The sequence below is a fragment of the Homo sapiens genome, chromosome 16 (assembly GCF_000001405.40).
Source record: "Homo sapiens chromosome 16, GRCh38.p14 Primary Assembly".
Taxonomy (NCBI): Eukaryota; Metazoa; Chordata; class Mammalia; order Primates; family Hominidae; genus Homo; species Homo sapiens.
This window is the reverse complement of record NC_000016.10, coordinates 53147334-53163089: the sequence shown is the minus strand read 5'-3', so window position 1 is coordinate 53163089 and position 15756 is coordinate 53147334. Positions and strand designations below refer to the sequence as shown.

Here is a 15756-nt window from a genome sequence, read left to right as displayed (position 1 = left end):
CATTATTTTTGATACCCATTTTTTTATAACAACCATTTATTAAATTTGTCAGGCACCTTGGTAGGCTGAGGTGGGAGGATTGCTGGAGGCCAGAAGTTTGAGTCCAGCCTGGGCAACAAAGTGAGACCTTGTCTCCACAAAAAATAAAAAAAGTTAGCCAGGCTTGGTGGCTCACTACAGGGGAGGCTCAGGCAGGAGAACTGCTTGAGTCCAGGAGATGGAGGCTGCAATGAGCCATGATCACGCCCCACTGCACTCCAGTCTGAGTGACAAAGACCCTGTCCCCCACCAAAAAAAAAAAAAAAAGGCTTATATGTGCTGCTCAAACCTATCTTTCTTTTACAAGTTTTTTTTAAGTTTATAAGTAATGTAAATTTCTCTATCTTCAGGAAAAGAAATAATAATTCAAGGTAATAAACTACAAAATCTATCAAAATACAAAAGGCAATAAAACATTATGTATGAGTATATCTTAAAATTCTATTTCCTGTTTCGAATGCCAGTTCTGCCATCCCTCATAACATGTTTCACTTACACAGAATTTTTACACTAAACTTAATTTACAAACATTGAGAGATCACACAGTGCTCCACATGTTATTTCCACTTCACGAATAAGACAAAAACTAAAGATTCTGCTATAAAGACAGCAGAAAATATTTGTTATGAGAGCAATAAAAAGTTCAGAGTATTATTCTCTCAAAATTCCTTTGCTCCAAAAATTAGAGATGATAAATAAGCTAGTATTTTCCCTATGTTAGTCTTGTACATACTTACATTTGGAAACACTTGCTATAGCTTCTCACTTTTTTTCTTTTTTCTTCCTCCTCCCAACAACCCTACTATTCTTCATCTCCCTCTGGCCTCTCTTCCCACTGTGTCCTGGCTCCTCTCTCTTTTCTAAGCAGTAAAATTCTAGAGTCAAATCAGCAATATTCACTGTTGTTAACAATTGACACATAGTTTAGCGTACGCTGAGATATTTGAAGTGATATCTACAATCACCCCACTATAGTTGGGAAATTTAAAAAAGCAAGGCTGGGTCAGGCACAGTGGCTCACACCTGTAATCCCAGCATTTTGGGAGGCTGAGGTGGATCACTTGAGCTCAGGAGTTCGAGACCAGGCTGGCCAACATGGCAAAACCCCATCTCTACAAAAAAATACAAAAATTAGTGGGGCATGGTGGTGCATGCCTGTGGTGCCAAGCTGCTTGGGAAGCTGAGGCGGGAGGATCGCTTAAGCCCAGGAGGCAGAGGTTGCAGTAAGCTGAGATCTACCACTGCACTCCAACCAGGGTGACAGAGTGAGACCATCTCAAAAACAAAAAAGAAAGAAAAAAGCAAGGCTTAGAAATATTCTTTAAATATTCAACATTCTCACTAAAGCGTTCTAGAATTCTAAATAGATTGTCATCCATGGTTTTTTAAACAGTAGGTTAAAGAATGTCTTGTTTTGGCTCTAACAAAACATACCTCAAAATTATTTTTCATAAACTAAAAAATTATGCCACTTCATTATGTTTAAATCTGTTAACTTTTATACACATGTAGTGATGTTAATTTAGTCTAAAATGAAATTACTACAATTAAGAGAGTTAAAGAAGCCCAACAAAGAACCCAGAAAAAAATTTCTTTCCATAGAACCTGTGGAAGCATCATAATAATATAAGAACTCCTTATTAATATAACATTTCAGCTATGTAGTACCATAACTATACAGAACATGCAAAAATTATATAGGTAAAAAAGTCTATGCTCTGTCAAAATTTGTCATGAATTCCACATATTAAATCATTTGCATTTCATATATTTAAGATGTGTGACCTATAATTCAGTACATATAAAACTGATATGCAACATACAATAATCATAATAATCCTCTCTACCAATCCATCTCTCTTTTTCACTCTCACAATCAACGAATCCCAAATATCACTGTTTAAACTAAGAAGTAATAGGAAACTTGAGAACAGAGTGTTTTTTTCTTTTTTCTTTTCCTTTTTTTGAGACAGGGTCTCACTATTACCCAGGCTGGTAAGTGGAGCAACACAATCACAGCTCACTGCAGCCTCAAACTCTCAGGCTCAACTCATCCTCTTGTCTCAACCTCTCAAAGTGTTGGGATTACAGGCATAAACCATGGCACCTGGTCGAGAACAGACTTTCTTTTCTTTTTTTGTTTTGAGACAGAGTCTTGCTCTGTTGCCCAGGCTGGAATGCAATGGTGTGATCTTGGCTCATCACAACCTCAGCCTCCCGGGTTCAAGCGATTCTCCTGCCTCAGCTTCCCAAGTAGCTGGGATTACAGGCATGGGCCACCACGCCCAGCTAATTTTTGTATTTTTAGTAGAGACGGGGTTTCACCATGTTGGCCAGGCGGGTCTTGAACTCCTGACCTCAGGTGATCCACCCACCGCGGCCTCCCAAAGTTCTGGGATTACAGGCGTGAGCCACTGCGCCTGGCCGAGAATAGACTTTCAGTAAGTCAAAAAAGAATTCCAAACAAACTGCCCTTTATCAGTTTTTGGACATGTGAAAAAAGAACAAGTTAACAAAACAAGAAAAAAAAAACTGAAACAAAAAAGTGAGTGACTTAAAACCGTATTTATCAGTGTAGAATAAGATGATTTAAGGTAGGTCTGAAAATAACTTCTCTCAGATGGAGTGCTCTCTATCTACATGCTAGCATTAGAGACTGCTTTAGTTATTTATAATTATCCTCCATTCATTCCAAATCTATAAAAAGGAGTCCTTACTACTTTTTAAAGCCCGGGAAACATGTTTAGAAATGCATTAATTAAAAAACAAAACAAAAGCAACAAAAAGACATGAATCAAAATGATAAAGTCTTAGGAGAATAAAATGTTTAAAAATAAATCAATAAGCTCTCATAATTTCAAGTATACACTGGACAAAAATGATTGGTCAAACTAGTCAGAAACCTACATACAAAGTAGATAGATGCACCTAAGTTCAATCAGTGGAGAGTTTTCCCAGGGTCCTTCTGAGATGCTTGATCTTCCTCCAGTAGGGGGAGCAAAATCACAATACTCAACTCATGTCATAAAAAGAGGGGGACATGGAGGGTTTATAAGTGTCTTTTAAATGTTTCTACATCTCCCTAGACATTTCAAAAAATATGCTGAAATATCGTTCTGAAATAGAACTAAAGTGGCCGGGCATGGTGGCTCACGCCTGTAATGCCAGTACTTTGGGAGGTCAAGGCCGGTGGATCACCTGAGGTCAGGAGTTCAAGACCAGAGATCAGCCTGGCCAACATGCTGAAACCCCGTCTCTACTGAAAATACAAAAATTAGCTGGGCATAGTGGCACACACCTATAATCCCAGCTACTCAGGAGGCTGAGGGAGGAGAATCACTTGAACCTGGGAGGCAGAGGTTGCAGTGAGTGGAAATTGTGTCAGTGCACTCTAGCCTGGGAGACAGAGTGAGACTCCTTCTCAAAAAAGGAAAAAAGAAATAGAACTATAGTCAATCCAATGGGAAAGACAAAGATTTTTTCTTTTTCAAATACTTCAAGGCTTTAAAATGAAAAATGGATCCCTAAATATTTAATTTCAAGAACTTTGGTATATTTCATTGTCCACAGAATCTCACAGGTAACCAAGGTATTGAAGCATTTTATGAATCCTTAATTTAACAAGAGAATTTTTAAAAACATAAAATATTACATTAATTTTTTATTATAAAAGTAATATGTTCACGACAAAATTGTAGAAAGTAAGGGAAAAACTGCACTACTTAAACCTATTTTCTTCTGGTATTTTTTTCATATACAAATTTTCTTTTTTTCTCAGAGGGTCTGATTCTAATGCCTAGACTGGCAGTGGTGTGATCATGGCTTACCTCAGCCTGGAACTCCTGGGTTTGAGCTATCTGCTCACCTCAGCCTCTTGAGTAGCTGGGACTACAGGAGTGCACCATCATACCTGGCTAATTTTTTAAAAATGTATTTATTGTAGAGACAGAGTATCGTTACATGGTCCAGGCTGGTCTGGAATTCCTGGTCTCAAGCAATCCTCTCACCTCAATCTCCCAAAGTGCTGGGATTACAGGCATAAGCTAACATAACTGGCCCATATACATATTTTCATACTACTATGAAAAAAAGTATAATTAATAAAAACACTTAAGACTGGGCAGAGTGTCTCACGTCTATAATCCCAGCACTTTGGGAGGCCGAGGAGAGTGGACTGGTTGAGTACAGGAGCTCAAGATTAGCCCAGGCAACATGGCAAGATCACATCTTTACAAAAAATACAAAAAAAGCCAGGCATGGTGGCACATGCCTATAGTCCCAGCTACCCAGGAGGCTGAGGCAGGAGGATCACCTGAGCCCAGGGAGGTTGAGGCTGCAGTGAGCCCTGATGGTGCCACTGCACTTCAAACTGGGTGACAGAGTGAGACCCTGTCTCAAAAGAAAAATTAAAAAAAAACAAAAAAAAGTATTAATTTCTAACTATATGCTAGGCATAGTCTAAGCATGTTTACATGTTATAAATCTATTAATCCTTTATTATTTCACATTTTAAAGATGAGGAAAAAGAGACGCACGGAAATTATCTAAGTCAAAGTCACCCAACTACTAAGTAACAGGACCCACAATTCTAAACCAGGTAGTCTGGTATCAAAGGCCACACTCTTAACCTTACTTCACTGTGATCTTAATTTTGAATTACGCTCTTTTCTCCATCATTAACATATTCTCAATGTTAGTGTTCAAAATCTTTTTAGTGCCTATGGTCTATCGTGATTACAATAATGAGCTATGCTTTTTTCAGCTGTCCCTTGTAAGTATATTAAGACAAATATCTTTGGGTATATACTTCTGCTATGTCTGGGTTATTAAAATGGAGAATTTTTATATTCTTTAATCTAGTACCAAATTGCTTTTCAAAATATTTGCATTAATTAACAAAGCCATGTAGGTACCAATTTCACCATAAATTTGTCAGCATTAAGCATTAACATTTAACATGTTTTTCTAATAGGTAAAAATAAAACCATTCTAAATTTATTTTTTATTATTAAAGCTGCATATTATTCTGGTTTTGTTTACTAATTTAATTTCCTTTTTGTGAATTTCAGCTTATATGTTTTATCTAGTTATCAACTGAGGTCTTAAAAGTTTGCTAATTTATAAAGCTTTTTATAGGAATATTAACTCAATGTTAATTGTATTTGCAATAAAATTTTCCCAGTCTGGTTTTTCCCTTTTAATTATGATTATTAAGTTGTTTTTGATAAAATAACTTTCTCTCAAAGGTATTCATAAACATCACAAAAGAAGTCTTAACACCTTATAATTTTCTAAATATAGAAGCTAATCTATTGCTTTGAGCATATCAGTGAATCACTTTCAATACAAGACTTGTAAAACAATATAAACCTATATCAAAATATGTATGTTCACTTAATGGAATTACCAAGTTTGAGAAATCTTGACTATGTTTCATATAAAATTAACCCAATGACTAACAGTCCGCCCTACCCCCAAATCTCCAAAATAAAAGCAAAGAGCTACATACCTGTCGCTGTAAACATAGGTGATTTCTGTCATGTAAATGCTGATGATTAGAAAATGATGAATGCCAACTCCGAGCCTGACTTTGCAACTGAGTCTGAGCCATATCAGAAGGCCGTGTTACCAGATGCGAAGTAAACTGCCGATCAAGGTCATGATCTAAAATGTGACTTGAATTATCTTGTCCGAATGTTGACTCATCAAAGTGAGGAAGAAGACCCTCCTGAAGGAGGTCCTCGGGGTCAAGTCCTGTGAATGGCTCAGTTTGAGATTCCACTTGATGAAGTAAATTCTCTTCTAAAGATGAAAAGCCATTAGTTTCTACATGATCATTGAAATGGCCCATTTGAGTTCCTGAGTCAACAGGATCTGGGAAGTTCATGTGCACAGGAGATAATTTTGAATTGCTATAATTACCCTGAGGATGTGATGAATGCAATATTTGGAAATTATTTGAATTCAATGATGTATTGGGGTTTAGGATATGCTGAGTAGATTCTTGCTTGATTCCTCTATGAGGTGAAAAGGAATTACTTCCAGTAAAATCAGATAAAGTCTGATTTGTATGATTAGATGCAAGAACTGCAGAGGACTGAAGTAGACTGTTTGGTGATATATGATTACTGGAAAAGGAATAATGTGAAGAAAATTGCTGTGAATTACTGACAGAACAAGAAGTCATATTTGGGGAAGGTCCATTAAAATTTCCTTCTTGATGACTGCTACACTTGTGGAAGTGTGCTGAAGGATTTGACGTTTGAGAAAATTGCTGCATTGAAATAGACTGTTGTGAATTAGATGCATTAGTCATCTGTGGTGGGTGGTTAACATTGACTCTATGTGGACCAGAAACATTCATAAAATTTTTAGACTGGCTAAGAGAATTCTGCCCTGGGTTGAGATTATTTCTGTTTTGTTGTGAGCGTAGTGAAGTACACTGTGTTTGTTGTTCATTGGCCTGAAATAAGGCAAAGTCATGGTGTGCCACAAAGCTTTTATTTTGATGCATAGAGTGTGAATGTCCTTGTTGGTGAAAAGGAGATCCATTTTGATTTGAAATGGTAGTAGCTGTCTGATGGCCCCACATTGGACTGCCATCTGATACATCTGGAAACAAACCATTGGGTTGGTTTTGGGGATGGATTGGAGAACAATTAAACTGAGAGTGTGGAGATAACACATGTTCAGCTGGGCTACCAAAAGATTGATTAACATGGTGAAATTTTATTGAATCAAATTGATTTAACTGTTCAAAATCAGTCATCTTCTGATGTGTTGGAGTACCTTGAACATGGTTCAGTGAATCTATGTGCAACGGTTCAAATTCTGCACCCAAATTCAATTCATCAACTAGTGAAACAGGTCCTGGTTGTACAAATGCATCATCTGACAAACCTTCTAAGGTCTCACCAAAAAGATTGGCATCATCAAAAAAGTCCATCATTGGATCTGTCATCTTGAAAATTCTGTAACAATCCGGGCTGTTCACTCCAAATGGAGTATATTCAGCTTCTCTATAGTAGATATTATTGGATCATTTCCGAAGGTCATCAACTAATCCAAAACAGGTCAATATTCATTATTGCTCTAAATAATGACATGTCATGAAGTGTCAAAATCCTAGAAAAAAAGGAACAAAAACAATAAAGAGAAATTAAGTACTGATACATGCTACAACAAAAATGAACTCTGAAAACATTATGCTAAGTGAAAGAGGTCAGTCACAAAATACCACATATTATATGACTCGATTTATATAAAATGTCAAAAGTAGGCAAGTATATATAGAGAGAAAATAGATTAGTGGGTCACCTAGAGCTGGTGGCATGGTGGGTGGGTAGAAAGGACTGGTGATTGGTGAGTGATAGCTACAGGTTATGGGATTTCTTTTGGGGGTAACGAAAATGCTCTAAAATTGGTTATGGTAATGGATAAACAACTCTGAGTATGCTAAAAGCCACTAAATATACACTTTAGATGAATGAATTGTATGGTATCTGAATTATATCTCAATAAAGCTACTTTAAGAATAAAAATTATATAAGTAAAATTATTTTGAAACTTCTAATTTTCTGTTGTATCTTTTAGATAAGGAGGATCGTTTGAGACCAGCCTGGGCAACAAGAGTGACACCCATCTCAGAAAAAATTTCAAAACTACTCGGCCATGGTGGTGTGTACCTGTAGTCTCAGCTACCTGGGAGGCTGAGGTGGGAGGACTGCTTGAGCCTGAGAGGTTGAGGCTGCAGTGAGCCATAATTGTGCCACTGCACTCCAGCCTGGGCAACAGAGTGAGACACTGTCTCAAAAAAAAAACAAAACTGATTTTATTCAATCTAATTACCAACTAATTTTACTTGGCAAGTATTTGCAAGGTAGATCTTTCTGAGAAAAAATTAAGTAGGTGAAGTTACTTTGGATGATTTAAGTTACAGTGGAAGTCTGTGTCTTCTCAAAGAAAATATTTTATCTAATACAACTTTGAAACTTATAACAATGTTAAAATAAGCTAGTAATATAAGTAAAAATTAAGCGCTGGAAAAATTTTAAAATAAATAAGAACTCTAGAGTAGACATATTTTTAAATGACTCAGGAAAAAAAATTTTTTTGAGACAGGGTAAGCTATCAAGATCATTTTAATCAATCAAAATTTAAAACTTCAAAATTTACTGAAATGATTTTTACTGACTCTGTCACAAATGACAACTCTAGAACAGGGGTCCCGAAACCCCAGGCTGCAGATGGAATGGGTGCGTGGCCTGTTAGAAACCAGGCTGCACGGCAGGAGATGAGCAGCAGGTCAGCCAGCATTACTGCCTGAGCTCCGCCTCCTGTCACATCAGCGGCAGTATTAGATTCTCATAGCAGCCCGAACCCTATCGTGAACTGCATATGTAAGTGATCTAGGCTGTGCTCCCTTATAAGAATCTAATTAATGCCTGAGGTGGAACAGTTTCATCCTGAAATCATCTCCCTCCATCCACCACACCCCATTTCCCTACCCCATCCACGAAACCGGTCCCTGGTGCCAAAAAGGTTGAGGACTGCTTCTCTAGAAGATGCATAGTATCATCCACAAAGCTCCTTAATATTAGGGACCTGAAGAAATATAAAAACTAAAGAATCAACAAAACCCTCTGCCTATCCTACATACTTGATACAATGATTAAGTGATACATTGCATATTAAATTGTTTTCCATACAAAAGCAAGATGTTTTTATAATCAGTAATAATAGTAAGTGATGTTTGGTTTGAGGAACAGTCAGCTTTAGAATGTCACAGCTCAGGAAATATTAGTAAAACATTAGTAAAATTTGAAAATTTAAATTTAGGATATCTAGAATTCTTACTTTTTATCAAAAAATTAGGAAGCCCAGATACTTTTGAGTAATAAATATCAATTGAAAGGGTGTTAATATTAAATTAATATGAATTCAATATTGTCCCTTAATTATTTAGGGCTAGCCCTTTAAAAGGTAACAAGAACTGATTAACTCTGTATCCAGTAAGGATTAAAGCAGGTAAGGACTTATACTCTTTCCATTCAGTTGTATATTCATTATTTGATCTGATCTCCCCTTTCCTGGGCACCTTACCAGCTAGCATACAGATACTCACATGCCAGAATAACTGTGTTTCCTACCTACAAGCTGAAGTATTTCTGATCAGCTTTCCTCAATCATATCATAAATAAATCTGGAAATTGGCAAGGTGCAGTGGCTCACACCTATAATCCCAGCACTTTGGGAGGCTGAAGTGGGAGGAATGCTTATTAAGCCCAGGAGTTCGAGACCAGCCTAGGTAACAAAATGAGACCCTTCTCTCTACTAAAAATAAAAAATAAAAAAAAAATTAGCCAGGCATAGTGCATTCCTGTAGTCCCAGCTATTTGGGGGGCTGAGGTGGGAGGATCGCTTGAGCCTGAGAGATTGAGGCTGCAGTGAGCCATGATTAAGCCACTACACTCTAGCCTGGGTAACAGAGAGAGGCCCTGTCTCCAAAACAAACGAAGAAAAAACCAAGGAAATTACTTTTAAAAAGTTTCCTCCACTGTTTTACATTTAAGTTGGAAAATGTTTGATTCTTGTAATAAGCAATAAAAAATTAAAACTCTCCTTCCTCTGCCTTCCTTCCCCACCTACTTGCCTACTCAAAGGCATTGCCCCAGTAATTCTTTCTTCTCTTCTGAGTCATCAATTTGTCCCATTCTCATCTGTATACAAACAAGCTGCTATTTCTCTCATCTTCAAATATCCCCTCTCTTGATCCCATTTATTATCCTTTCAATTTCCTCCCCCTTCTTTCTTCCTCTTTACAACAAACTTGAGGAATCTGTTTAGGTTTATTGTCTTCAATTTACTTGTTGCCATTCTCTCTTGAAATTGTTTTATTCCCATCATCTCACCAAACTGACCTGAGGGCATACGGACCTTCACATAACGAAATACAAGGGTCGTTTTTCACGTCTCATCTAACACTACCTATCAGCAGCATTTGATGTAGTTATCATGGAATCCTCCTTGAAACACTTAACTTCATTTAATTGTTATATATGGTATTCACTTGGTTTCTCTCCTACTTTTCTGAGTGTTCATTCTCATTCTCATTCTCTTTTTACAGATTTCAATCTACAATCTACAAATGTTGAGGACTCCAACCTCTTCTCTTTTCTATCTATAATCACTTCCAAGGTGATTTCATCCAATCTCAAGGTTTTAAATAAAATCTCTATATTGGCAATTCCCTAACTTACATCTATTAATTATATATCACTACCTTAAATCTAGACCCATTTACCTAATAAACTACTTGACTTCTCATCTTGGACACTTGATTGGCAACTAACAGCCTGCTATTTACCTTGCCCTGTTTCAAAACAGTGATCTCATTAAAATGCAAGTTAATTCAGGACACTCCTCTGCTCACAACCCTCCAATGACTCTTTATGTCACTCACATGAAAAACTGAAATCCTTACTATGACTTGTAAGCACAGCCCTGCACCACCACCAGAACAGCTCTCTGCCTTCAGCTCTGGCTGCACTTCTCTCTTGCTCACCCCCTTGCTTCAGCCACAATGGCCTCCTCAGGTCACTAAAAAGCCAAGCATGAGAGAGTGATGCCAGCAAAATGACAGACTAGACAGCTCCAAACACCTGTCTCTCCACAGAAACACCAAAAACAAGCAGGAAGTGTCAGAACCAACTTTATCAGAACTCTGGAAAACAGTCAAATATTTATAACAACCAAGAGAATGCTGAAAAGAAAATACTCCCAGCATTCAAGGAAATCTGTATTAAAACACTGGCTAAACACAAACCTAAGTAATACAGGCTTCAGTAACCTCAGACAACAACCAATATAGTCACTACAGAAAATAGTTTGAAAAGTGTCTAAATGAATGACTCCAGCCTTCAACAATCAAGACGAGCAAATGCTAAGGGAGGGGGTAAATCTTATTTCTGAAGTTAGCACATCACAGTATCAAATGGTCTGGTTTTCTCACACACATATGCACACACACGTGTGTATGTGCACCCCTGCCCACAATCACACACACACACACACACACACACATACCCTGAAAGCATACAAAGAATAAGAAAGCCCATCCAAAGGAAGAAAAAAGTTGACAGAAATTGTCCCTTAGAAAGTCCATTAGATTTGATGGTCAAAAACTTGAAATCAAGTGTCTTAGATATGATCAAAGAGCTAAAGGAAACCATGGCCCAAGAATGAAAGTAAACCAGGAAAACAGCATATGAATAAAATAAGAATATCAATACAGAAATAGAACATCTTAAAAGTAACAAAATAGAAATTCTAGAGCTGAAAAGTACAATACCCGAAATAAAAAATTCATTATCGTTGTTCAACAGGAGATTTGAGCAAACCGAAGAAATAATCAGCAAACTTGAAGACTTGAAGATAGAAGAATTGAAATTACCAGATTCTCCAATATGAGGATCACAAAGAAAAAATAATGAAGAGGCTGGACGTGGTGTCTCACGCCTGTAATCCCAGCACTCTGGGAGTCTAAGGCAGGTGGATCACCTGAGGTCAGGAGTTCGAGACCAACCTGGCCAACATGGTGAAACCCCATCTCTACTAAAAAAATATAAAAACTAGCCTGGCATGATGGCAGGCGCCTGTAATCCCAGCTACTTGGGAGAGGCTGAGGCAGGAGAATCACTTGAACCCGAGAGGCAGAGTTTGCAGTGAGCTGATATCATGCCACTGTACTCCAGCCTGGGTGACAGAGCAATACTCCATCAGAAAAGGACAGGACAAGGAAAGGACAGGACAAGGAGAGGAAAGGGAGGGGAGGGGGGGAGGGGAGGGGAGGGGAGGGAAAAGAAAAAGAAAAAGAAAAAGAAAGAAAAATGAAGAAGAAAAGTGAATCAAGCCTAAAAAAACCTATGAGACAAAATCAAGAGAATAAAATATACATTGTGGGCATCCCAGAAGAAGGAGAGAGAGAAAAGGGCAGAAAGACTATTTGAGGAAATTATGGCCCCAAACTCCCCAAATTTGATGAAAGACATTAATCTACATATCCAAGAAGCTCACCAAACTCCGCGGAGGATAAATTCTAAGAGATCACATCGTAACACATTATAGTCAATTTGTCAAAAGACAAAGAGAATCTTGAAAGTGGCAAGAGAAAAAAGACTCATCAAGTACACAAGGGCCTCAACAAGATACAAGTGGATTTCTCATCAGAAACCATGAAGGCCAGAGGTGCTGACATGAAATATTTGAAATGCTGAAAGAAAAAAACTGTTGACTAAGAATTCTATGCAAAAAGCTATTTTTTAAGAATGAAGAGAAATTAAGACCCATGCAGATAAATAAAAGCTAAAGGAGTTTGTTATTAGTAGAACTGCCCTAAAAGACATGATTAAGGGAATCCATTCGGATAAAATGAAAGGACACTAGAGAGTATCTTGAAGCCATATGAAGAAACAAAGAATGCTGCTAAAGGTAATTATATAGGTAAATATAAAGGCCAGCATTATTGTACCTTTGGTATGTAATGCCTTTTTAAAAAATATGATCCTAAAGGCAAATAGATAACCCATTTAAATTTCTGTTAACAAGCACACAATGTAGACCGATGTAATCTTTGATAATAACAATATAAAGGTGAAGAGACAGATGTTTAGGAGCAGAGCATGTGTATACCACTGAAACTAACTTGGCATTTAAAATACATTGTTATAATTTTTGTTAATTATAATCCGCAACATAACCATTAAGGAAATAACTAAAAAATATACAGAAAAGGAAAGAAGGAAATCAAAAAGGAATGCTACCAAAAAAAAAAAAATCTAAATATAAGAAATTGGCAGTAATGGATGAATTAAGGAAAAAAGAGCATACAAGACATTAAAAAGCAAAAAGCAAAATAACAGAAGTATGTTTTCTTTATCAATAATTACTTTAAATGTAAATGAATGAAATTTTCTACTTAAAAGGAAAAGATTAGCAGAATGGATAAAAATGAAAATAAAAACATAATCCATCTTATATACTGTTTACAAGAGGTTCCCTCTAAATACAAAGTCACAGGAGGATAAAAAACAAGAAATGAAAAAATATATTCCACAGAAATAGTAACCAAAAGAGAGCTGGGATATTAGTATCAAACAAAATACTGTAAGTAAAAAAAGGTTACAAGAGGGCCTTGCACGGTGACTCATACCTGCCACAATCCCAGCACTTTGGGAGGCTGAGGTAACAGTACTGCTTGAGGCCAGGAGTTCAAGACCTGCCTGGGACACACAGCAAGACCCCATTTCTACAAAATATATATATATATATTTTTAAATTAGCCAGTGTGATGGTGCACACCTATAGTCCTAGCTAACTGGGAGGCTGAGGCTGGAGGATCTCCTGAGCCCAGGAGTTGGAGGTTACAGTGAACTATGATTGTGCCACTGCACTTTAGCCTGAAAAAAAAAAAAAATGGCTGGGTACGAGAGACAGAGAGAGAAAGGTTACAAGAGACAAAGAAGGATATTACACACTGATGAAAGAGACTCAATCTACCAATATGATATAACAATTATAAACATGTATGCACCTAACAGACCCACAAAATTTATGAAGTAAAAATACACAGAATTGATGGGAAAAACAAATAATTCTACAATATAGTTGTAGAAAGTTCTACAATAGTCGGAGACTTAAATATCTCATTTTCAATAATAGATAGACCAACCAGACAGAAAATCAATAAAAAAAGAGGACTTGAACAACACTACAAACCAATTAGACCTAACACACATATACAGACACTCTACCCAACAATAGCAAAATATACATTCTTCCGGAGTGCAGATGAAACATTCTCCAGGATTGGCCATATGGTAGGCCACAAAACAATTCTTAAAACATTTTAAAATATTACAAGTATACAAACTGTCCTCTCTGACTCCAATGGAATAAACCTAAATATCGATAACAGAAGCCAAATTAGAAAAATCACAAATATGTAAAAATTAAATAGCACACAATCAATGGGTCTAAGAAGAAATAACGAGGAAAATTAGAAAATACGCAAATGAAAATTGAAACGCAATATAGCAAAACTTATCAGACCCAGTGCTTATCAAAGCAATGCTCTGAGGGCAAGTTATACCTGTGAACAACTACATTTTTAAAGATATATCTTAAATTAATAACCTAATTGTACCCCTAAGGAAACAGAAAAGCAAACTAAACCCAAAGGTAGCAGAAGATAATAAAAAGGCAACCAACAGAATGCAAGAAAGTATTTGTAAATCATATATCTGATAAGGGTTTAATATCCAGAATTTTTAAAGAACTCCTACAACTCAGTATCAGAAAGACAACCCAATTTAAAAATGGGCAAAGAACTTCATTCGATATTTCATCAAAAAAGATACAGGAATGTCCAAGGAGGACATGAAGACACTCAACATCAGTCGTTAGTGAAACACAAACAGAAATCACAATGAGATATCACTTCACACCTACCAGGAATGGTATAAAAAATAAACAACAAGTGTTGGAGAAGATGTGAAGAAATTGGAACCCTCATACATTTCTCATAGGAATGTAAAATGGTATAGCCACTGTGGAAAATAGTGTGGTGGTTCCTCAAAAAGTTAAACAAGCCAGACGGGTACGTGTGCCTGTAGTCCCAGCTACTCAGGAAGCTGAGGCAGAAGGACTGCTTGAGCCCAGGAGGCCAAGGCTGCAGTGAGCTGACTGCGTCACTGCACTTCTGCCTAGGTGACAGAGTGAGACCCTGTGTCTAAAAAACAAAAACAAACAATAAACTAAATAAGCAAAATTTTATATATTTTTTTGGAGGCAGAGTCTCACTCTGACACCAAGGCTGGAGTGCAACAGTGCGATCTTGGCTCATTGCAACCTCTGCCTCCTGGATTCAAACGATTCTCCTACCTCAGCCTCCCGAGTAGCTGGGCTTACAGGCGCCCACCACCATGCCCGGGTAATTTTTTTTTTATTTTTAGTAGACACAGGGTTTCACCATTTTGGCTAGGCTGATCTTGAACTCCTGACCTCAGGTGATCCACCCACCTCAACCTCCCAAAGTGCTGAGATTACAGCCATGGGCCACCGCGCCTGGCCTAAATAAGCAAACATTTAAAAAAGTTAAACAGAGAATTACCTTATGACCCAGCAATATCACTCCTAGGTACATACTATTCACCAAAAGCAACTGAAAATAGGGACTCAAACAGAGAACTTGTACATGAACACTCATAGCAGCATTATTCACAATAGACAAAAGCTGGAAACAATCCAAGTGTCCATCAACAGATATTTATAATAGAATCTTACTCAGTCATAAAAAGTAATAAAGTTTTGATACATGCCACAACATGGATGAACCCTGAGAACACTATGTTCAGAGATATTAGCAGGCAGACACAAAGCAAATATGATTCCACTTACATGAAGTATTTAGAATGGGAAAATTCACAGAGACAGAGGTACATAAAACTAAATTAGAGGTTATTGGGGCTAGGGGAAGGGGAGAGTAGAAGTTATTTGGTAATGGGTACAGTGCCTTGAGATGATAAAAAAATGGCAACATGTAGTGGTGATGGTTGTACAACATTGTGAATGATGTTGATGCCACTGCGCTGTATACTTGACAGTTAAAGTAGCACATTTTGTCAAATGGATCTTACAATTAAAAACAATCTTGAAAGT

At 37.2% G+C, this 15756-nt stretch overlaps 1 protein-coding gene across 37 annotated transcripts in view; it reads right to left on the bottom strand.

The window, feature by feature from the left end:
* Window positions 1–15756, bottom strand: part of CHD9 (chromodomain helicase DNA binding protein 9) — a 272507-nt gene that overhangs the window by 164408 nt on the left and 92343 nt on the right. For 25 of the 37 annotated variants that reach the window (XR_007064921.1, XM_047434707.1, XM_047434693.1 and 22 more), the window contains one exon: window positions 5549–7164. Coding sequence is in view for 36 of the 37 variants with exons in the window: in XM_047434693.1 (XP_047290649.1) it covers window positions 5549–7000 (1452 nt within the window). In the remaining variant the exon portion in view is untranslated. Of the gene's footprint in view, window positions 1–5548; window positions 7165–8546; window positions 8644–15756 lie in introns of all 37 variants that reach the window. The other 12 variants (XM_017023719.2, XM_047434699.1, XM_024450459.2 and 9 more) reach the window with 1 other exon arrangement.